Source organism: Homo sapiens, chromosome 11 (assembly GCF_000001405.40).
Source record: "Homo sapiens chromosome 11, GRCh38.p14 Primary Assembly".
Classification (NCBI taxonomy): domain Eukaryota; kingdom Metazoa; phylum Chordata; class Mammalia; order Primates; family Hominidae; genus Homo; species Homo sapiens.
The window spans coordinates 43,638,427-43,663,858 of record NC_000011.10 but is presented as its reverse complement, the minus strand read 5'-3'; the positions used below and the strand labels follow the sequence as shown (position 1 = coordinate 43,663,858).

At 38.5% G+C, this 25,432-nt stretch overlaps 1 protein-coding gene across 4 annotated transcripts in view, besides 1 other annotated feature; it reads right to left on the bottom strand.

Annotated features, from left to right (window-relative positions):
- The window catches only part of HSD17B12 (hydroxysteroid 17-beta dehydrogenase 12), a 299,895-nt gene that overhangs the window by 192,757 nt on the left and 81,706 nt on the right, over positions 1–25,432 (bottom strand). For all 4 annotated transcript variants that reach the window (XM_024448573.2, XM_047427074.1, XM_024448571.2 and 1 more), the window contains one exon: positions 22,825–22,907. The gene's annotated coding sequence lies outside the window, so the exon portion shown is untranslated. The remainder of the gene's footprint in view (positions 1–22,824; positions 22,908–25,432) is intronic.
- Positions 19,537–19,726: an enhancer, noted in NCBI's record as "active region_4641". NCBI's record gives its function as "activates an Ori minimal core promoter by ATAC-STARR-seq in GM12878 lymphoblastoid cells {active_cell/tissue: GM12878}" and the evidence as "EXISTENCE:reporter gene assay evidence [ECO:0000049][PMID:35858748]".

The window sequence follows — 25,432 nt, the reverse complement described above, 5'->3', positions numbered from 1 at the left end:
AAAATAAAAAAATAAAAATAAAAACCCTTACCTGTAAGCCACTAGAGGGGTTGAATCTTAAGCGTGCACTGCCTGATACTCCTTGCTTGGCACCCTGTACGTAAACATGCTTCTTTCTCCCACTGCAAACCTTGGTGTAGGTGTTGGCCTTACTATGCCAGGCTAAGGAACTCCAGTTCAGTTGGTAACATGGACAAGATTATAATTTTTGACTACAGGTTTCCAAGTATACAGAAAACATGGTTTAAAATGTTTGAAGGCTACCACTAACAAAATTTGTCTGCCTTACTTTCAAAAAATTGATGATATTCAAAAATATATCCAATTGGCTGGTCATGGTAGCTCATGTCTGTAATCCTGGCACTTTGGGAGGCTAATGCAAGAGGACTGCTTGAGGCTAGGAGTTTGAGACCTGCCTGGGCAACATGGTGAGACTATCTCTATAAAAAATAAAAAATAGGCCAGGCATGGTGGCTCACGCCAGTAATCTCAATACTCTGGGAGACTGAGGCAGGCAGATCACTTGAGGTCAGGAGTTTGAGACCAGCCTGGCCAACATGGTGAAACCCTGTCGCTACTAAAAATACAAAAATTAGCTGGGCGTGGTGGCACATGCCTGCATCCCAGCTACTTGCGAGTTCTGAGGCAAGATAATCACTTGAATCCGGAAACGGGAGGTTGCAGGGAGGCGGAGGTTGCAGTGAGCTGAGATCACGCCACTGCACTCTAACCTGGGCAGGCAGATCGAGACTCTGTCTCAAAAAAATAAAAATTAAACAACAAGGCAAGACCCTGTCTCTCAAAAAAATTTTTTTTAAATCTAATTACTTTAATAGTCCTTTGTCCTGTTTAGATACTTCCTTGCTGTTCTAGTATCTGTTAAAGTTAAGATGAATCCTATCTCTGAATTAATCTATTCTTTCTGTTTAATCATGAGATGAAAATTTCAGGACACTCTGGTGAAGACTAGTCAAATAATTTCACAGGACCTTTACTACATATTGAATGTATGTTCAAACCCTATTTAGATAAACTTCTTTGCTTTCCCTACCCCCAAGGTAGGAATAGTCAATAGTCTAAGTGGTCCTGCTCTGAAGCTGTCCAACCAGTAGATTGGAAATTCTACCTGCAGGCTATAGATGGAATGACATATTCTGACCCTTTCCATGATATTCCTCTGGGAATGTATTGTGAATCCATGCTTAAATTTAAATCCATGTTACAATTACAACTTTGCCCTTGTTTTAAGTCTCATTTCAGCTTTGCTCTGATTTGAGATATAACAGGTGTCCTCTTAATCTAATGAGGAAGATTTTTCTTTTTCTTTTTTTTTTTTTGAGATGTGGCCAACTTTGGGGGGCTAAGGTGGGTGGATCATTTGAGGTCAGGAGTTCGAGACCAGCCTGGCCAACATGGTGAAACCCTGCCTCTACTAAAAATACACACACACACACACACACACACACACACACACACACACAAATAAAATAAAATTAGCAGGGAGTTGTGGCAGATGCCTGTAGTCCCAGTTACTGGGGAGGGTAAGACAGGAGAACTGTCTGAACCCAGGAAGCGGAGGTTGCAGTGAGCTAAGATTGCACCACTGCACTCCAGCCTAGGTGACAGATTGAAACTCCGTCTCAAAAAAAAAAAAAAAAAGAGACGTGGGCTCACTCTGTCACTCAGGCTAGGGTGCAGTGGTGCGATCACAGCACACTGCAGTCTGGAACTCCTGGTCTCAGGTGATCCTTCCACCTTGGCCTCCCAAACTGCTAAGATTACAGGCGTGCACCACCATGCCGAGCCTAAAATTTTAATTTCATCCATTTCCCACAAGAAGGAAAGTATAAATGGAGGTACCGGATATTCAGATCTTATTTATATGTCACAAAAATCCCACTTAACCCTCATTTATCAATAAGATAGTGAATTATTTTTGTTCTTTCAACTGCCAGTTTAAAAACAAAATCTAGAGTGTATATTATATTCTACCTTTCTATTTAAAGTAGTAAACATTTTTCCATATCATAATTTCAATATAACTTTTAATGGCTTGATATACTTTGTGCATGAATATATCATAGATTTAAATAATGTCCTTTTTCTGGGCACTTGGGTTAAGTATTTAGCTATTATAAATAATGCTGAAATGAACATCCTTGTATGTAAGTTTTATACACATCTCTGATTCCTTTTTCCTCCTTTTTTGTGGAGAATGGGGTCTCACTATGTTGTCTAGGCAGATCTTGAACTCCTGACCTCAAGCTATCCTCCCACCTCTGCCTCCCTAAGTGTTGGGATTACAGGAGTGAACCACTATGCCCGGCTCACATCTCTAATTCTTTTTATTAAGTTATTAGACATGCACTTACTGGGTTAAATTGCACGAACACTTTTTTCTTAGTCCACTTATCAAGGACTTTCTTAGTCCACTTTATTGTATTTACAAACAATCTACAAATTTTATGTGTAGTCACCACAATCAAGATATACAACATTTCCATAATCTCCAAGAGTTTCTTCATGCCTCCTTATGGCCAATGCCCTTTTTGACCCCCAACCCATCATAACCACTGATTCTGCTGTCATTCTAGTGTTGCCTTTCTAGAAATGCATATAAGTGGAATCATGCAGCATGTGGTTTTTTGTGTCTGGCTTCTCTCACTTAGCATACTACCATTGAGATTAAGCTGTGGTGTGTATTGGCAGTCTGTTCCTTTTTATTATTATTATTGAGATGGAGTTTTGCTCTGTTGCCCAGGCTGGAGTGCAGTGGCAAGATCTTAGCTCACTGCAACCTCTGCCAACCAGGTTCAAGCAATTCTCCTCCCTCAGCCTCTGGGGTAGCCAGGATTACAGGAATGCACCACCACACCCAGCTCATTTTTGTATTTTTAGTAGAGACGGGGTTTCGCCATGTTGGTCAGGCTGGTCTTGAACCCCTGACCTCAGGTAATCCACCTGCCTCAGCCTCCCAAAGTGTTGGGATTACAGGCATAAGCCAGAGAACCCGGCCAGTCTGTTCCTTTTTATTGCTGAGTAGTATTTCATTTTGTTAGCCACTCTTCAGCTGATGAATGTTTAAGTTGTTCCCAATTTTTGCCTGTTATAGATAAAGCAGCTATGAACATTCATATACAAGTCTGTGTAGAACATGAGCTTAATTTCCTTTGGGTAAACAATAGTGAGGAGCAAACTAATAGGTTATATGGTAAATATTTAATTCTAGAAGAAACTGCCAAACTGTTTTCCAAAGTGGCTGTACCAGTTTGCTCTAGTTGCTGTGCATCTTCAACACCACTTAGTATTGTCTTTTTAATCTCATTGATATGTAGTGGTGTCTCAATGTGACTTTAATTAGTGTTAGTTAATTCAATCATATTAATCTTCAATTAATAACTTACAGCATGATCTTTGCTGTAAAGATAATGAGCATCTTTTCATGTTTAAACATTTCAATGTCTTATTGGACATTTGTTTATCTTAGTTTGTGAAGTAACTGTTCAAATCAAGTGGAGGGTCTGAGGGACTTGGGGGCTGATCAAAGAAAAAGATATGAAGCAGTAATAACACACGGCAAGCTTTATTGAATGGTTCTTGGACAACCATGCATGAGAGAGGAAGTCCTTCACAGCATGAGACTTTCTGGATGCTAACAATGAGGGGCCTACCCTCCAGCAGGAGAGGGAGGGTATGGGAACTCCTTGGGAGAAGAGGAAAATCAGAGAGGGAGTTTACATGCCCAGGTGATAACACTCCACTAGCACGGCAAGGGAGTCTCTGGATCAGAGAACATTGAAGGACAGAAGCAGCAGTGATTTGGGTCCTGGAGCTTATCCTACATTTGGCTAGCAGGCGTGGAGTGATTTCATGGGTTATACCAAGCAGGCAGGTTCTAAAGTGCTGAAAATCTAGTTTGGGCTTAAAAAAAAATTAGATTTGTAAAAAAATTGACTTTGGCACTGGTAGACTTTCGAACTAATAAGTCTCAGCCTGCAGTGCTGAAATAAACAACCTAGAAGCCAAAACATCCAGGCCATCTTTGGCTCACTTATATAAGAAAGGTTTTGCTCATATTTTTAATTAGTTTGTCTGTTTTATTACTGAGTTGTAAGAGTTCTTTATATATCCTGGAGATGAATCCTTCATCAGATGTCTTGCAAATATTTTCTTCCTTTTGTGTAGCTTGCTTTTCATTTTCTTAACTGTATTTTGATAAGGAAAAGTTTTTAATTTTGATGAAGTCTAATTTATCAATTTTTTTCTTTTATGCTTCCTACTTTTTATGTATTATCTAAGAAATTTTTGCATCAACTGGGGGGTGGAGCCAAGATGGCCGAATAGGATCAGCTCCAGTCTACAGCTCCCAGCGTGAGCGATGCAGAAGATGGGTGATTTCTGCATTTCCAACTGAGGTACCGGTTTCATCTCACTGGGGAGTGCCAGACAGTGGGTGCAGGACAGTAGGTGCAATGCACTGTGCGTGAGCTGAAGCAGGGCAAGGCATCGCCTCACCTGGGAAGCACAAGGGGTCAGGGAATTCCCTTTCCTAGTCAAAGAAAGGGGTGACAGATGGCAACTGGAAAATCGGGTCACTCCCACCCTAATACTGCGCTCTTCCGATGGGCTTAACAAACGGCACACCAGGAGATTATATCCCGCACATGGCTCAGAGGGTCCTACGCCCATGGAGCCTTGCTCATTGCTAGCACAGCAGTCTGAGATCAAACTGCAAGGCAGCAGCGAGGCTGGGGAAGGGGCGCCCACCATTGCCCAGGCTTGAGCAGGTAAACAAAGCAGCTGGGAAGCTCGAACTGGGTGGAGCCCACCACAGCTCAAGGAGGCCTGCCTGACTCTTTAGGCTCCACCTCTAGGGGCAGGGCACAGACAAACAAAAGACAGCAATAACCTCTGCAGACTTAAATGTCCCTGTCTGACAGCTTTGAAGAGAGTAGTGGTTCTCCCAGCACGCAGCTTGAGATCTAAGAACGGGCAGACTGCCTCCTCAAGTGGGTCCCTAACCACTGAGTAGCCTAACTGGGAGGCACCCCCCAGTAGGGGCGGACTGACACCTCACACGGCCGGGTACTCGTCTGAGACAAAACTTCCAGAGGAACGATCAGGCAGCAGCATTTGTGGTTCACCCATATCCGCTGTTCTGCAGCCACCGCTGCTGACACCCAGGAAAACAGGGTCTGGGGTGGACCTCCAGTAAACTCCAACAGACCTGCAGCTGAGGGTCCTGACTGTTAGAAGGAAAACTAACAAACAGAAAGGACATCTACACCAAAAACCCATCTGTATGTCACCATCATCAAAGACCACAGGTAGATAAAACCACAAAGATGGGGAAAAAACAGAGCAGAAAAACTGGAAACTCTAAAAATCAGAGTGCCTCTCCTCCTCCAAAGAAACGCAGCTCCTCACCAGCAAACGGAACAAAGATGGATGGAGAATGACTTTCACAAGTTGAGGGAAGAAGGCTTCAGAAGATCGAACTACTCCGACCTAAAGGAGGAAGTTCGAACCAATGGCAAAGAAGTTAAAAACTTTGAAAAAAAACTAGACGAATGCATAACTAGAATAACCAATGCAGAGAAGTCCTAAAAGGACCTGAGCTGAAAACCATGTCACGAGAACTACATGACGAACGCACAAGCCTCAGTAACTGATGTGATCAACTGGAAGAAAGGGTATCAGCGGTGGAAGATGAAATGAATGAAATGAAGCGTGAAGAGAAGTTTAGAGAAAAAAGAATAAAAAGAAACGAACAAAGCCTCCAAGAAATATGGGACTATGTGAAAAGACCAAATCTACGTCTAATTGGTGTACCTGAAAGTGACGGGGAGAATGGAGCCAAGTTGGAAAACACTCTGCAGGATATTATCCAGGAGAACTTCCCCAATCTGGCAAGGCAGGCCAACATTCAGGAAATACAGAGAACACCACAAAGATACTCCTCAAGAAGAGCAACTCCAAGACACATAATTGTCAGATTCACTGAAGTTGAAATGAAGGAAAAAATGTTAAGGGTAGCCAGAGAGAAAGGTCGGGTTACCCACAAAGGGAAGCACATCAGACTAACAGCTGATCTCTCAGCAGAAACTCTATAAGCCAGAAGAGACTGGGGGTCAATATTCAACATTCTTAAAGGAAAGAATTTTCAACCCAGAATTTCATATCCAGCCAAACTAAGCTTCATAAGTGAAGGAGAAATAAAATACTTTACAGACAAGCAAATGCTGAGAGATTTTGTCACCACCAGGCCTGCCCTAAAAGAGCTCCTGAAGGAAGCACTAAACATGGAAAGGAACAACTGGTACCAGCCACTGCAAAAACATGCCAAATTGTAAAGACCATCAAGGCTAGGAAGAAACTGCATCAACTAATCAGCAAAATAACCAGCTAACATCATAGTGACAGGATCAAATTCACACATAACAATACTAACCTTAAATGTAAATGCGCTAAATGCTCCAATTAAAAGGCACAGACTGGCAAACCGGATAAAGAGTCAAGACCCAGCAGTGTGCTGTATTCAGGAAACCCATTTCACGTGCAGAGACACACATAGGCTCAAAATAAAGGGATGGAGGAAGATCTACCAAGTAAATGGAAAACAAAAAAAGGCAGGGGTTGCAATCTTAATCTCGGACAAAACAGACTTTAAATCAACAAAGATCAAAAGAGACAAAGAAGGCCATTACATAATGGTAAAGGGATCAATTCAACAAGAAGAACTAAGTATCCTAAATATATATGCACCCAATACAGGAGCATCCAGATTCATAAAGCAAGTCCTTAGTGACCTACAAAGAGACTTAGACTCCCACACAATAATAATGGGAGACTTTAACACCCCACTGTCAACATTAGACAGATCAATGAGACAGAAAGTCAACAAGGATACCCAGGAATTGAACTCAGCTCTGCACCAAGCAGACCTAATAGACATCTACAGAACTCTCCATCCCAAATCAACAGAATATACATTCTTTTCAGTACCACACCACACCTATTCCAAAATTGACCACATAGTTGGAAGTAAAGCACTCCTCAGCAAATGTAAAAGAACAGAAATTATAACAAACTGTCTCTCAGACCACAGTGCAATCAAACTAGAACTCGGGATTAAGAAAGTCACTCAAAACGGCTGAACTACATGAAAACTGAACACCCTGCTCCTGAATGACTACTGGGTACATAACGAAATGAAGGCAGAAATAAAGATGTTCTTTGAAACCAACGAGAATAAAGACACAACATACCAGAATCTCTGGGACACATTCAAAGCAGTGTGTAGAGGGAAATTTATAGCACTAAATGCCCACAAGAGAAAGCAGGAAAGATCTAAAATTGACACCCTAACATCACAATTAAAAGACCTAGAGAAGCAAGAGCAAACACATTCAAAAGCTAGCAGAAGGCAAGAAATAACTAAGATCAGAGCAGAACTGAAGGAAATAGAGACACAAAAAACCCTTCAAAAAATCAATGAATCCAGGGGCTGGTTTTTTGAAAAGATCAACAAAATTGATAGACCGCTAGCAAGACTAATAAAGAAGAAAGGAGAGAAGAATCAAATAGATGCAATAAAAAATTACAAAGGGGGGAAATGATCCCACAGAAATACAAACTACCATCAGAGAATACTATAAACACCTCTACGCAAATAAACTAGAAAATCTAGAAGAAATGGATAAATTCCTTGACACATACACTCTCCCAAGACTAAACCAGGAAGAAGTTGAATCTCTGAATAGACGAATAACAGGCTCTGAAATTGAGGCAATAATTAATAGCTTACCAACCAAAAAAAGTCCAGGACCAGATGGATTCACCGCCAAATTCTACCAGAGGTACAAGGAGGAGCTGGTACCATTCCTTCTGAAACTATTCCAATCAATAGTAAAAGAGGAAATCCTCCCTAACTCATTTTATGAGGCCAGCATCATCCTGATACCAAAGGCTGACGGAGACACAACCAAAAAAGAGAATTTTAGACCAATATCCCTGATGAACATTGATGCAAAAATCCTCAATAAAATACTGGCAAGCCAAATCCAGCAGCACATCAAAAAGCTTATCCATCATGATCAAGTGGGCTTCATCCCTGGGATGCAAGGCTGGTTCAACATACGAAAATCAATAAACGTAATCCAGCATATAAACAGAACCAAAGACAAAACCACATGATTATCTCAATAGATGCAGAAAAGGCATTTGACAAAATTCAACAGCCCTTCATGCTAAAAACTCTCAATAAATTAGGTATTGATGGGACGTATCTCAAAATAATAAGAGCTATCTATGAGAAACCCACAGCCAATATCATACTGAATGGGCAAAAACTGGAAGCATTCCCTTTGAAAACTGGCACAAGACAGGGATGCCCTCTCTCACCACTCCTATTCAACATAGTGTTGGAAGTTCTGGCGAGGGCAATCAGGCAGGAGAAGGAAATAAAGGGCATTCAATTAGGAAAAGAGGAAGTCAAATTGTCCCTGTTTGCAGATGACATGATTGTGTATCTAGAAAACCCCATCGTCTCAGCCCAAAATCTCCTTAAGCTGATAAGCAACTTCAGCAAAGTCTCAGGATACAAAATCAATGTGCAAAAATCACAAGCATTCTTATACACCAATAACAGACAAACAGAGAGCCAAACCATGAGTGAACTCCCAATCACAATTGCTTCAAAGAGAATAAAATACCTAGGAATCCAACTTACAAGGGATGTGAAGGACCTCTTCAAGGAGAACTACAAACCACTGCTCAGTGAAATAAAAGAGGATACAAACAAATGGAAGGACATTCCATGCTCATGGGTAGGAAGAATCAATATCGTGAAAATGGCCATACTGCCCAAGGTAATTTATAGATTCAATGCCATCCCCATCAAAATACCAATGACTTTCTTCACAGAATTGGAAAAAACTACTTTAAAATTCATAAAATTCATATGGAACCAAAAAAGAGCCCGCATTGCCAAGTCAATCCTAAGCCAAAAGAACAAAGCTGGAGGTATCATGCTACCTGACTTCAAACTATATTACAAGGCTACAGTAACCAAAACAGCATGGTACTGGTACCAAAACAGAGATATAAACCAATGGAACAGAACAGAGCCCTCAGAAATAACACCACACATCTACAACCATCTGATCTTTGACAAACCTGACAAAATCAAGAAATGGGGAAAGGATTCCCTATTTAATAAATGGTGCTGGGAAAACTGGCTAGCCATATGTAGAAAGCTGAAACTGGATCCCTTCCTTACATCTTATACAAAAATTAATTCAAGATGGATTAAAGACTTACATGTTAGACCTAAAACCATAAAAACCCTAGAAGAAAACCTAGGCAATACCATTCAGGACATAGGCATGGGCAAGGACTTCATGTCTAAAACACCAAAAGCAATGGCATCAAAAGCCAAAATTGACAAATGAGATCTAATTAAACTAAAGAGCTTCTGCACAGCAAAAGAAACCACCATCAGAGTGAACAGGCAACCTACAGAATGGGAGAAAATTTTTGCAACCTACTCATCTGACAAAGGGCTAATATCCAGAACCTACAAAGAACTCAAACAAATTTACAAGAAAAAAGCAAACAACCCCATCAAAAAGTGGCCGAAGGATATGAACAGACACTTCTCAAAAGAAGACATTTATGCAGCCAAAAAACACATGAAAAAATGCTCACCATCACTGGCCATCAGAGAAATGCAAATCAAAACCACAATGAGATACCATCTCACACCAGTTAGAATGGCAATCATTAAAAAGTCAGGAAACAACAGGTGCTGAAGAGGATGTGGAGAAATAGGAACACTTTTACACTGTTGGTGGGACCGTAAAGTAGTTCAACCATTGTGGAAGTCAGTGTGGCGATTCCTCAGGGATCTAGAACTAGAAATACCATTTGACCCAACCATCCCATTACTGGGTACATAGGATTATAAATCATGCTGCTATAAAGACACATGCACATGTATGTTTATTGCGGCACTATTCACAATAGCAAAGACTTGGAACCAAGCCAAATGTCCAACAATGATAGACTGGATTAAGAAAATGTGGCACATATACACCATGGAATACTATGCAGCCATAAAAAATGATGAGTTCATGTCCTTTGTAAGGACATGGATGAAGCTGGAAACCATCATTCTCAGCAAACTATTGCAAGGACAAAAAACCAAACACCACATGTTCTCACTCATAGGTGGGAATAGAACAATAAGAACACATGGACACAGGAAGAGGAACATCACACACCGGGGACTGTTGTGAGGTGGGGGAGGGGGAAGGGATAGCATTAGGAGATATACCTAATGCTAAATGACAAGTTAATGGGTGCAGCACACCAACATGGCACAGGTATACATATGTAACAAAGCTGCAAGTTGTGCACATGTACCCTAAAACTTAAAGTATAATAATAATAAGAAAAAAAGAAATTTTTGCGTCAACCAAGACCTCAAAGATTTTTCTCCTATTTTCTTCTAAAGTTTTATGGTTTTAGTTCTTATGTTTAGGTTTATGAGTAATTTCAACTCCATCTTTGAATACAGTATGAGGCATGGAACAAGACTCATCTTTTTGCATATGGATATCCAACTGTTCCAGCACCATTCCTGGCTCATAACTCCCATATCCCTTGTTATAGTCTTTTGTTATAATGTTGGGATGCTTTAGACCTCAGAAGAAAACAGATTCTTCAGGAAACAGAATCTCTCTCTGACCTTCCTTCCCCTGCCCTCCTTCCACCAGCCCAAGGCAGGACTCTAATCTCCCCCTACTTTTCTGATTGTAGGTCATAAGACCCTCATTTCAGAAGGGTACTGCCCCATACCCTGGAAGAAAAAAAAATGCTGCCAGAGAGCCCAAGAATCTGAACTGTCCAGCCTTACTGGGTTTCCTCATTCAGTAATAGTAATGAATAGTATGATCTTATTAGTATTAGATCATACTCTTTTTATCCATTCATATTTCCACACAGTCCTCATCATGCCTAACCAACGAAGTCTCCATAGAAGACCCAAGAGGACAGAGTGTGGGGAGCTTCCAGATATCTGAACATGTGAAGTTTCCTGGAGGGTGTGTGCCTGGGGAGGGCATGGAAGCTCTTCACCCCTTCCTCCATACCTCGCCCCATGTATCTCTTCATGTGTATTTTTTTTTTGTAATATCCTTTAAACCAGCATACATGTTCTGTGAGCCACGCTAGCAAATTAATTGAACCCAAACAGGGGGTCATGGGAACCCTATCTTGAACATGGTTGGTCAGATGTTCTGGAGGCCCAGACTTGCAACTGGCATCTGAAGGGTGGTGGCAGTCTTGTGGGACTGAGCCCTCAATCTGAGGCTATCTCCAGGTAGATAGTGTCGGAATTGAATTGGAAGACACCCAGCTGGTGCCTGCTGCAGAACTGCTTGCTTGTCTGGTGTGTAGGGGAAAAATCTCCACACATTTGGTAACAGACATCTTCTCTGTGTTGATGATTGTGTGGTGTGAGACCAGAGGAAAAAGTTCCTTTTTCCACACCTATTGTTTTACATAGCATAAATTTATAAATTTGATTATTTTAACCAAATTCCACTGTCTTGATTACTGTGGTTTTAAATTGTTAAAACCAGGAAATGTAAGTCCTCCAACTTTCTTGTCTTGACTACCCTAGAGCCCTTGCATTTCCATATATATTTTAGGATCAGCCACTTTGGGTTTTTTATTTTTTAAAAAAGCTACCTGGTATTTTGATTGGGATTGCTTTGAGTCTATAGATCCATTTGAAGAGTTGAAATTTTAACAACATTGAGTCTTCCAATCCACGAACATGGTATCTTTCTCACAACTTATGTATTCTTTAAATTTCTCAGCAATGTTTTGTAGTTTCAGTGTACAGGTCTTACACATATTTGTTATATGTATCCCTAGGTATTTCATGTTTTCTGGTGCTATTTAAATGGTTTTGTGGCTGAGCACAGTAGCTCATGCCTGTAATCCCAGCACTTCGGGAGGCTAACCAGGCAGGTCACTTGAGGTCAGGAGTTCAAGACCAGCCTGGCCAACGTGGTGAAACCCTGTCTCTACTAAAAGTAAAAAATAACTGGATGTGGTGGTGTGCACCTGTAATCCCAGCTACTGGGGAGGCCGAAGCACAGGAATCACTTGAACCTAGGAGGCAGAGGTTGCAGGGAGCCGAGATTGCACCACCGCACTGCAGCCTGGGGCGACAGAGCGAGACTGTCTCAATCAATCAATCAATCAACCAATGGATTTTTTTAACTTCAATTTACAAATGTTTATTGCTAGGATATAAGCATTTTTAAGGATCTTGATGAATAACTGTACTTTATAATGGCCATACCAATTTACATATCCAACAAAATATGAGATTGCCTGTTTGACCATACTTCTGTAACTGATCTCATTTAAAAATTTGTTCCAAGTGAGGCAGACTGAAAAAATGGTTCTTTCAGTTTACTTTGAGAATTATAATCTTCTCTTCTTGGAGTGAGGGAGTATTGTTTGACCTCCAGCACAGAAAGTATGATGAATATGTCTTGGTTCACAGCACGTTATCATCATTGGCTTCTCATTTTATTCAGTTTATTTTAACTCATTCTCCATTATCCTCTCCCTTTCTTCTTTCATGGGCAACATTTACCTTGCCCTTTAGGTATTCATTCCAACGTGTTTTACATACCTTTTTGAACATTTCTAGATTCCACTTTTTATTTTCATGGAACACTGTACTTCTCAAACATTATGCATGGTAGATATATGTAGTCTTTTGCTTCTATCTGATGCATAGCACATTACTCTCCCCTTATGGGATACATTCCAAGACCCTCAGTGCGTGTCTGAAACAAGGATAGTACTGAACCCTATAGATCCTGTTTTTTCAATCCAACTGAGATAGCTACTAAGTAACTAATGGACAAGTGTAAGATTTCATCACACGACTCAGAATGCTGCAAAATATAAAGCTTTTGAAATGTTTATTTCCAGAATTTTCCATTTAATATTTTCAAACTGCAGTTGGCCACAGGTAACTGAAACAGCAAAAATCGAGACTGTGAATAAGTGGGGACTACTGTACTACATGTGTGCATCCACCATATTTTACCTATGTATTCCTCCAGTGATGAAGAACCTCAGGTTGGATCTGAGACTCTGCCATGAAAAACAATGTGATGAACATCCTCACATTTCCTCCTTTAGAGACCTATGTAAGACTTGAGGCCATATACCCAGGAACAATTTAAGATCTATATTCATTTAATTAAATTCGGCCAGGCTGCTCTCCAGAACGGCTCCACCACTCTATATTCTCACCAGCAGTGTATGAGGGTTCCTAACCCCCATCCCCACCAATACTTGGCATCATCCATCTTTCTCATTTTTCTTAGTCTACTGGGGATAAAGAGATACTTTATTGTTGCTCTAATCTTAATTCCTCTAATTACTGAGTTTGAGCGTACCTTTTCATGTTGTTAGCCTATTGTATTTCCTCTTTGAAATAACACCTGTTCATAATCTTGGCATTTTTCTATTAGGGCTCTTGTGTTTGTTTTGTTTTGTTTTCATTTGAAAAACAAACAAAACTCCTTACTTATTGTAGATACTAGTTCCTTATCAGATTTAGACAAGCAAATTGTACCCATTATCAAACAAAAATTTTCCCCCAGTATTTGTTCCTGTTATCTGTCATGGCAAAACAAACCACCCACAACCTTAGAAGCTTAAAACAAACCATTTTATTTGGCTCATGATTTTATGGGGCAGAAATTGGGAAGGGTACCACTGGGCAATTTATCTGATTTACGTAACAACTAGGGCAGCTGGGGCTGGAGGATCCATTTTCAAAATGGCTTCTTCACTTAGTGTTCTTTGGCCTCTTCCTTGGTGCTCTTTTGCCTCTACACTTGATGTCGCATCCTCCAGGGCTTCTTCACTTGCCTTTGGGTTTCTCACGACATAGTGATTTCAGGGTGATTACATTTCTAACATAGTGGTCAGCTTCCAAAAGGCAGGAAACCAAACTTGTCAGGTGAAATAAGAGCAATACCTGGAACTGGAACTTCGCTTCTACCACATAGTCTTGGTCAAAACAGTCGAAGGATCCACTCAGATTCAAGGAAGTGAAAAGACTCCACCTTCTGATGACAGAGTGACATTGTCACAATAGAGAAGAATATGTAAAACCGGGAGACACAGTTGTGGCCACCTTTGGTAAACACAATCTGCCACATTATTTATTGCCATTTTTATTTTTCCTTTTGTGAATTGCCCAGCCATGGCTGTGTCCTTCCATTTTTTTCTATTGATTTATAAAACTATAGTACATACCTCAAATCTTTTGCACGGATAAAAATTCTTTTTTCCAAGTTTTAATTTAGAATTCTTCTACCTCAAGTAGAAGAATATAATAAGAGTGTGTTTCATTTACTTTATATGCTTCCTTTTAAAAATCTGTTAGGATGAAACAATTACAGAATCCTATGTGTCTAAAAAATTAATATGATATTATATATATAAAGCCATTTCTCAAATATTTTAAAATTAACTCCATTACATTACAAATTCAAATTCTATCAGAAAGTAATTATAGCAAATGGTACACAAAAGCTAAAAATCACTGTCTTCATTTTAACCCTCTACTACAATGGGCCCTTTTCTCCCCTTATAAACTACATATAATCAATACCTTTGGTTAATAATTAAAAAAAAAAAAGACACAAGTTGGCTACTCTTTTACTACAACTTTATTGAAAACATGGCTCTCCCTACCAAAAATGAATTCTCCTTAAAAACAATTTCAGGTCGGGTGCTCACGCCTGTGATCCCAGCACATTGGCAGGCTGAGGCAGGCGGAACGCCTGAGGTCTGAAGTTCGAGACCAGCCTGGCCAACATAGCGAAACCCCGTATCTACTAAAAATACAAAAATTAGCTAGGCATGGTGGTGGGTGCCTGTAATCCCAGCTACTTGGGAGGCTGAGGCAGGAGAATCACTTGAACCCAGGAGGTGGAGGTTGCAGTGAGCCAAGATCAATCACACCACTGCACTCCAGCCTGGGCAACAGAGTGAGACTCTGTCTCAAAACAAAAAAACAAAAAAAATTTTCAAATCCAGACACATACATTTATTTCTGAGTTAAGAAAACAAGAAAGTGGTTTACTAAATAAAAAAAATTTTTTTAGATTGGTAAACACATATAGAACTGCTTTATTCGATTCTTTTATGTGAATTCAAGGATTTCTCCTTATACTGTCCTAATAAAATTTTCACATTATATTTAGTGTTGGGCAAGAAGTGCTTTTCAGATTTCTTCTGAAACGGCCAAATCATGCATCTCTCTTCATTGTCTAAAGACTGTTAATAACAGAAAAAGAAGCTACAGCTATACATCCCTGGATTTTTTTGCAGGCCAAATTCTGGAACTTTGTGAATTTGGTTTAAGTAGCTAGCTCATTTTTTCCCAAAAAAGAAATTCAATATTTATAATATTTTAATTATAAAAATGAAATATGACAAGAATGACTTATTAAAATCATGTTATGAATAATTTAGGTGAAAATGGTTTTAAGTTGAAGCAAATAATTTGAAAAATAATCCAAAATAAACAAAAATGTCATTTAAATTCTGGAACCCCACAAAGGCACACTGAGAGAGAAAACTGAACAAAAAGAAAAATAAGGAAGGCAAAGGACAAAGCAAAATGATTATTTATGATTTTTTTTGAGGCTTTAAGATACAGAATCCTTTAACTGGTAGGACATATGCATACGATCTTGCTTTATTTCTAATGGAAATGAATATCTTTTAATCTACATTCAGCATTTTGAAGTAAGTGTTGGTTTGCTCTGTCCTACCCATAAAAATCATCCAATACTCTGACTTCAAAAACAAAGGGCCCAGCAGGGCAGAGATAATATATTCTGTCCTGGAAATACATGTAGGAAGAATCAAAAAATAAAATTCATCATTAATAAGCATAGAAGTTTTAAAAATACCACTCCTCTTTCTCTCAGAAACCTTACTATCCTGTCAGGGTGAGGGGTGAATATACATTCCATGTTTAAGAGTACTGGAATCTAAAACCAAACGTACCAAACTTAAGTGTACAAACTACAATCAACAATTCTTCTTTTTCAAATAATATTAATGAAAAATAAAGATCAAATTCGGAATGGGTGATTTTGTTGTTTTATATGCAGTTTTACCCTTACAAATGTTCACAAATGCAGAAATGCATTAATAAGAACTGCTTAGGGTCATGTGTGGTGGCTCATGCCTGTAATCTCAGCCCTTTGGGAGGCAGGAGGATCACTTGGGGCAAGAAGTTTGACACCAGCCTGGACAACATAGTGAAAAACTGTCTCAAAAAAAAAAAAAAAAAAATTAGCAAGGTGTGGTGGAGCATGCCTGTAGTTCTAGCAACTCAGGAGGCTGAGGCAGGAGGATAGCTTGAGCCTGGGAGTTTGAGGTTATAGTAAGCTATGATCACACCACTGCACTCCAGCCTGGGTGACAGAGTAAGACCCTGTCTCCGAAAAAATAAAGAACTGCTTACTTTCAGCAATGTGAATAGTTATATGCGGGAAAACAAGAGATTAGAAAGAACCTGAGTAAAGGCCCCAAACAGATACACTCTGTTCCCTTCTTGGAGTCTCCAAATTTTGGCTACAGTCTAAAGTGAAAATTTTTTTGGTCATGTTCCAAATTCTATTATTTGGAAACAAGTTTCCATTTCTTTTTTGAATGAACACAAGAATTAAAGGCTTTCATTTTATAACACCTTAGTCAAGAAAGTTACCCTTTGGTGTTATGCCTCATTGAAAACAGTTTCGTTGAAACTGTGCAAACCCTGGGTTTCAAAAAGACACCTTTTGACGTATCTATCCAATATGTAAACACAACCTTATGAATCATGTTCCAGAAAACATAAGTAGATTTTATCACATTTTTTTCTGAAACATCTACTGTTGCCTTTGTATATTACACAAAACATTTCACACCAGCATCAGAATTGGAGTGATAAGGATGGGAAACAGAGTACCAAATAAATGATTAAATACCAAAATTCTTGGACACAAAAACCTCACCACTTTGTAGAGAGATGTGACTACTGGCAAATGTCTGGAAGGGCTCTATGCAAATGCAGAGATGAGTTTACCTCTAAACTTAACAAAGTATGTACCTTTCCACTCTCAAAGTCCATTCAAAGCACCCTCTAATGAACTATTTGTTCTGTTTAACTCAAGCCAGAGGTAACTTGTCAATTAAAAATTCATGTATCTTCTTTCAAGGCAAATGGGCACTGTGGCTGTGGTTCATTCTAAATGATTCTACACATCTACAAAGTCTAGCCATCCGGTCTTCCTAAGATACAAAACCAATTCACCAGAACAATAGTATTTGACCACATCACCAAACAGTAACAAATATGGACAATATGGATCATTTAAAAATAAATTTCTCAATCTTTTTTATTCAATTGTCAAGTTAGTTAACATTCTAAGACACACTTAGGTCAGGTTAGAGGGAAGGAAATACTTTCCTGAGATCTGACTAGCAACCCAACAATATTAGCCTATCAATCCATACCTGAAATCAGTTTCAACAGAATCACATGTACATACCCAGCCAGCTTTGCTGCTTTCTCTACCATTACTATACATATATTTTTTGAGATGCAGTCTCACTCTGTTGCCCAGGTTGGAGGGGTGGAGTACAGTGAAGTGATCTTGGCTCACTGCCGCCTCCACCTCCCAGGTTCAAGCCGATTCTCCTGCCTCAGCCTCCAGAGTAGCCGGACTACAGGCACCTGCCACAACACCCAGCTAATTTTTTTTTTTTTTTTGAGACAGGGTCTCACTCTGTTGCCCAGGCTGGAGTGCAGTGGCACAATCTCCGTTCACTGATATCTCCACCTCCTGGGTTCAAGTGATTCTCCCACCTCAGCCTTCTGAGTAGCTGAGATTATAGGCGTATGCCACCACACCCAGCTAAGTTTTTTGTATTTTTAGTAGAGATGGGGTTTCACCATGTTGGCCAGGCTGGTCTCAAACTCCTGACCTCAAGTGATCCCCTGGCCTTGGCCTCCCTAAGTGTTGGGATTACAGGCGTGAGCCACCATGCCCGGCCCCATTACTATATTCTAAGCAAACCCAGACAATAGGGGAGTTATAAAAACCTCATTCATCACAAGACACAAAGGGCTTTTTAATGATATATGAAAGTGGTTTATTTAGTTTTTATATGCACTAAAATACCAAGAGAAATGGAATACAATTTTTACTCTCTCTATAAATCATTTCTGTCACGTGGTGGCCCCTAAAACTAAAACTTGATAGCTGATTTCCAAAACCACTGTTGTACCTTATTTCAAATCTCCCACCTTACCAAACTTGAATGAAAAAATGTTTTAGATACCAGTTCTACTTGTGGGAAAAAGCTTTTAAATACTGCCTGAAAAATGGCTTTTCATGACCAGTTAGATTTCAAAACTTACAGACAATACCATGGAAATAAGGCGGAATTTATGGAGCAGTACATTGTGGCAGAAACAATGAGGTCCAATTCGTGTAGACAGACAAAACAGGTACTGCCATTCTTGGCTATCTAGTGTTATCCTGAGATTGTGATACACGACATTACACATCAGTACACGGTGCTTCATTTAGCCTCAAATGTTGAAACAGTACCCAATATCAAAGATCAGGGTCCCAACATGCAGAGAAACTCTGAGCCAAGAGTAAGGTAACACAGCTCAAAGCAAACCTAATTTCCATAAATAAACTCAAACAACTTCACAGCACCAGGGAAGCCTGGGGGAGCTGGCTCCCTAGAACTAAAGGTACCTGCAACCCTGGTGCTCGTTTTAAATTCAGTTTTGCACACATATCTTTCTACAAGCAATTGCAAAGCTCCCAAGATTTAGGAACACATCCAAGTTAATAAGAAGGCATTTCACAAGTAGGAACTGCCTGACACTGCCTTTCAGCATTAGCAAACGAGGGGAAAGTTCACCACATGCAAGGGAAAGCCAACCACACGATCATGGACACGTTCATAACTCCTGCAACTGCTCACACCCCACACCAGACAGACAACACCCAGGACACTGCTGTACATCTTACAAAATTCCAGTTCTTGCTTAAATCCCACCAGACCCAAGAAAAAGAGCCCAGTCCAACCCCAAATAGGGCCATGAGTACCAACAGCCATATGGACAGAGCCAAATGCGCTAAGAACAGTGGAGGATGCAAGCTACAAACCACAACACAGAAAGCACAACCCCATATGCCTAGGCGCCGGCCACCCAGATATTTCAAAGGCAGAATGCCAGACGACCAAGGTCCGGCCGGCTGGGAACCCTCACCGACCCTGCAGCCGCTACAGGCCCCTTGACCGCTATAACGACGGCAAATCCCAATGTTAACCCATCAGGCTGCTTGCCCACCTTCCAGGAACACAACTAACAGGCCCTTGGCAACCTGGGGGGCTGTTGGTGGCCTTCTAACGGGACCGACAGCCCCCCAAACCCTCCGAAAGGCAGAAACCCTCAACTCCCTGCCTCGGCGGCGGCCATCACGGCAAGAAAGCAGGCTTTTACGACAACTCCCACAATGCCCGCGGCCTACAACTCCCAGTGTGCACCGGGCGCCGCCGCGGTTAACCCTGTAGTGGCGCCGGGCTGGCGAGCCCTGCACCCTTTCCCCTCCCAACGGCCAATTGTTGCACCTACTTTCACCCTTTCAATCTGAAAGTAACTTCGGAAATTTTCTCAAACACCTATAGTTACGCTATCTAGCCGCCTTCCCTTATCACACAAACAACCTCAACTGCTCAGAAAATTATCCTTGACAGAGAAACATTTGTTAATCTCTAGAGCACTCCTCATAGTGTCAAATGCTTCCCATTTGAAAAGGGGACACTTAACTTCAATTAATCTTCCCCTTCGACTTTATCATTTTCCAACATTTTTCTAAGTTATTATACTCCAGAGATTCGTGTACTCAACACTATTAATTTAAAATCTGTTTTCTAACTTCTGGGAAGCAACAAGAGAGAAAGACTATCCTATAACTGCCCACAATGTTCTACATCTCTCCATTTTATAAGACAAATTTCCTCCAATATATTGTCTCAAAAAAATTATGCGACTCCAAGTAAGTCCTAATAAGAAATATTAAATATGGGCAATATATTTTTTCAATTTGAAGTTAGTTTTTTTTAGGGGAAAACCTGGGTTGTGTCAATATACTTTGGTTTCCCTTTCACTCTCTTGATAGATAATCAGAAATATAATAATGCTGCTTTATTACTTTTTAATTTTAAAATGCCAACAAGCAACAAGTAAAGAAACATTTTAATAAAATTTGAAAAATAAACTAAGAGTTCATTCTTTCAGGAGACTGCACAATTACATATTTTATTCATAAATGAACTCCTTCAAGGTTTTTCTCATTTTAATTAAAAATAAGAGTTTAAAAACGCATTTCTTTGAAATAGTTTGCCCATAATTTCAGTAAAGATTAACAATCACGTTTAAAGAACACTGTATCATCAATGTAAGTTCAATATCCTGTTTGTACATACAGTACAAACTGTAACATGCCCAGACGTATAACTGAGAGATAAAATAATTGTTTAGTATTTGATGCATACACTAAGGCAACAACTAGAATTCTCCCAAATTATCTGCTATTTTTCTCACATCCAAATATAAAATGAAATGTACATAATGTCTGATTTTTCCACAGAAACAATTTGCCATTTGAAAGGGCACTCAAAATGTATCATGAATTTCAAATCACAAAACTCAGAAATCCTAATACACATGCAAAAACCTAAAGCCTTGTTGGAAAGATACGTATTTAGTAAGACTCTACGAAATTATATTTTAAATGTGCCCCTTACTATTACATTTAGCTTATTAGTACATTTTTTATCTAGTAAACTATGATGAGAAAATACTTCATCATTTACTTCTTCACTCCTGTACAATATGTAGTTTCCTAAACAATTAAGACAAATGCCATATACCAAGATATAAAAAATTATATATTCATATATATTTGGAATTTTAGTTTATTATACTACTTTAGCATCTGAACATTTCTAATTCTCACCTAACTCTTTAGTTAGTATTTTGCTAGGCAAAGCTCTGTTTTTTTCCCCTCTCTTTTTTAATAGCTACCAGGTTGTAACATTTTAAAGCGTATTTTATATATTATTCTCTTGATGTTAAAATACATGATGATTCATAAGAAAGGCTCAAAAACAAGTCAGAAATGAAACTGATCTCATATATTTATTACATGCTTACAACTCTCTTCTCAGTACTATAAGATTATATTTTCCATTAGGAGATTAGTCATTTTTTTTCTTTTAACGGTTCAAAATATAAGAGGTAAAAACTGATATATTAAAGGGCTTTACGTAAAAATTACATTAGAAATAATTTTATGATCTTTTCAGTTTACCCACATCATTCTTTTAAAAATAACTTAGAAGTTTAGTATATTTTAATTAAGTAATTTAAGTAGGTCTTAATCTATATACTTAATATTGATGTAAATGTCTTTATAAGAAGAAAATAAACGTATTCTAGAAATGAACTCTTCAAATTTATACCAAAAAATTTAGTAATTTCCCTCAAGTTTTTAGATTCTATTTCACCACATGAATTTTTAAAGTATATTTTTTTAAAACCCTAAACTTTATACTAAGATTTAAAAAATATTTATACGTAACAGTATTAATATGTTTAAAATTAGGAAACATTTTGTATACTTTTAAGAATATATATATGTTAATAGAAGACAAACATTGCAATCTATTTCTTTTCCCAAATGTGGCATTGGTGACAAAGCTAGAATGTGCAAATTTGCATATTTACAACAGATTCTATAATTTCTGAAACTACTTGTTTTATTCTTTTAATTTCATAAAATACTTCAAAGCATTTAAAATGTTTGTTTAGACAATTTAATTGCACTTGTAATCTGCTTTTAAAAATCTGATTTTCATGTATGTATTTTATACTGTTCATGGAAGTAAACTGCACTAATAGAATTATTGCCAAAAATAGAATGAGTTGCAAATATTCTAATATGCTTAAAAAGTTAGTCTGTCTCCTTTTCTTATGTTATCAACGTAACACAATTACCAAACACTGAAAAGAGTTCACACACAAAGTACAGGTTCTTGCCTGATTAAACAAATTATTTATATTTACATTCTGACCCTACAAAAAAATATTTTCCCAGCATGTGAGTATATACCAAAGTTTAAGTTTGCCTGTTACTGCACAAATCTTAATTAACTTTAATTCACGGGCCTGCTTTTAAAACAATGACCAGTCTTTCAAATTTATCAAAATAGTTTATCACATTAGTTTACATCTGTGTTTAGGAATATTTTAGATGTCTGAAAATTCTCTTGTTTTTGATTTTGCTAAATATTTTTTAAAACTCTGTGCCAGAATCATAACTTTTATTTTAATTTGGTTATGTCTTAAATATTTTTAAAAGATGGATCATGGGAATCCTCTTATTCAGGCTATGAGAAAGTGCAAAAAAAAAGGGGTCTATCTCATTTTTTCCCCAACAAATTAATCTTTTTTAAATGAAAAATTTCTAACTACTTTTGCTTTATTTAAATTAAAAATCCTGCTTTCTATCATCTTCATGATGTTTTACATCAGTTAAGATAAGCAAAGTTTTAGTACATGATACTTCTTTCGTCTAATTGAAATGCTCTTTTCAACCCATGGATAAACAATAGAAAACGTTTCCTTACCTAAAGAAGAAAAGTTTCACCTTTAAAAGAATATCCAAAAAAATCTTCAAATTTCTTCAGGAGATGAAATTTTTGCTATTTTCCTATAGAAATAAAAAAAAAACAAGTAAATGATTATGATTACTTCTGTTCTGTAAAAAATCATGATGGACATATAGATATTTGTATTTTTGAGTCCTAATTTTATGTAGCAAGTCTGAAATATAATTAAATTAAATTAATGCTGCAATTAAAAACCCCATTTTGAATTTTATCACAGATAGTAGTTTCTGATATACTTAGTTTTTCTGCATTTTACCCTGCCACTGACATATTTTGGGGGTCTTATTTATGACTCAATAGTTTTAATACTTTCAATATATTTAAATAATTAACTAGCCTTATCTATTTTAAAAATTTCCTAATACGTAACAATTCTTATTTTATATATAGTTTCTATAGTCTAAGCTTCAAATAAACATATGAAAGAAAAAAACCTAAACCCTAGAATTTCTAAGTTTCGAAAGGCCTTTCTATCTTCAAATCAATTTTCTCGAACAGAGATATTTAAAACCCTACATACTCTAAGATGGAAATGCTGAATACTCAATTTAGGCTGAATTTTTAAAAACGATTATACTGCTTCTCCTTCTCCCTCTTTCTGCCCACAATTGTCTCTCCTTTTTAATGCAGGTTTACATTCATGAACTCACATGCCTCCTCTCCAAAGAAAAATTATTTTCTGCTTAGAAAATTTTACGATTTCTTACATATTCCCTTCATTCCCCATAAGGATCTACTACTTCAAACTTTAGAGGGGGGGAATGAGAATTAATTGTGCTGCTTTCCCCCCTCCCCACAGTGTTTTTCCTACACCAGTTTTCTAATTATTTCTTCTATGAATCCACCATTCCCCACTTTTTTTTTTAACAGACCAATAAAATGCCTAACATTCTTCTCCCCAGCATTTGCGGGCATATTCTGATTTTATTTTTGTTTTCATGTTTACTCACAGTTTAGTTAAGCTTATCTCTCCATACTCCAAACATAACCAATTTTCACTCCCTACTAGGTACTTGTGGACTTGCAATTTGCCAGACCCTGGCAATTTCTTGTTCTTCACCAGGGCATCCCGCTTAGGGTTCTCATACAGGTGAATAAAGTTGGAGAGCACAGCTGAGTGAGAACCACAAGAAAGAATGCCAACCGCAGACACCACCCCTCATTTCACGAAAAGTATCTTGCTCAGAACTGACCCTGGTGCTTCACAGCAACATAGAACGTATAAAATTCCTACGCACAGACACTAAAAAATTGCTTTCCCTTATGCCATTCTTGGCAACCTTTGGTTTCCTAAGCTAGTTTTTTTTTCTTTTTCTCTTTTTTTTCCCCTGAAGGATGTGACTTTTGTGGTACAAGTTTGCAAGTACTAAGCAGAGGTTCCTTCTATGGATAGAAGAGATGTCAACTCACAAGCCCAAGCAATTTCTAGGGCAGAAGCAACAGGACCTACTGTCTCCACCCAGACTAAAGGCTTGAGTGCTCCCTCTCATTTTGCCTTGTCAAAATGAGGGATTGTAACTAGGCTGTGCCTCAGTTTCTTCATCTCTAACTTGATTCCATTACCCAGCACAACAAGCAGATACTGAAGTGGGAGCAGCCAAGGGAAGCAGAACCAAAAGGCAAAAAGAAGAAAGACCTAAACTAAGATAGTATTCAGCCCTCAGCTCTACTCGTTTTCCTGAAGCCTTTCTCCCAGCAAGGTGGGCGGGCTGTGCTGTTAGGCAAGGTTGAAGCGTCCAATATGGAGAGCCTCTAATATCTCCACACCTTACAAAAGTGCAGATGAGAAAAAAGTGCAATGTTTTCCTTTTTAAATTAAAAACAATGACAAACTCAAAGCTTCTTTCTGAAGTACTTAAAGATGTGGTAGGTAAATAATGCTTTTTATAAAAAATAAAACACAAGTGGGTACAGAGCCATAAAAATCTTATCTTTGATTCACCCTCAGGGCTGTTGGCTTATTTTTCTCCAGGTAAACAGACACACTAGAGATGTGGACTTTCACAAGTGTCCTTATTCAGACCCGACACTATTGGAACTGGGGAGCTAGCACAGTGGGGAGCCCTTAAATCTTCGGGAAGACTCCCTCCAACCCAACCCTGTCTCGGGAAACTGTCAAGGAATGTAGCAAAGCATTTTTAGTGTTCTGAAAGAGGACTTCAGTCCCCTTCCCTGCTCAGAACTCCATGCCAAATTAATCTGACTCATTAGTCCTATTGAGACACACTGTTATTTAAAAGAAAGCATTAGGCATAAACTTATTTATAAGTAATTATTTAAAACACCACGATATATTAATCTTAAAAGAGTAAGGGATTAACATAAACTGCTTACTAGGTTCAACACTAGATGCAAATAGATCCTTCCTTTGCTGGAACCATCAATGCTGCCAAGCTCTCCCCCAAACTTCCCTTTCCGTTTAAGAAAACCAAGTTCCTAGAAATAATAAAATAAGAGTTTTCTTTTTCATCAACTTTTAAACATTAGCTACAAATCCATTCAAAAACTGTTTAGCATAAAATTAGATTATCTCTTTGCCCTTTCTGCCTCTTTCCCTTCCTCTTTT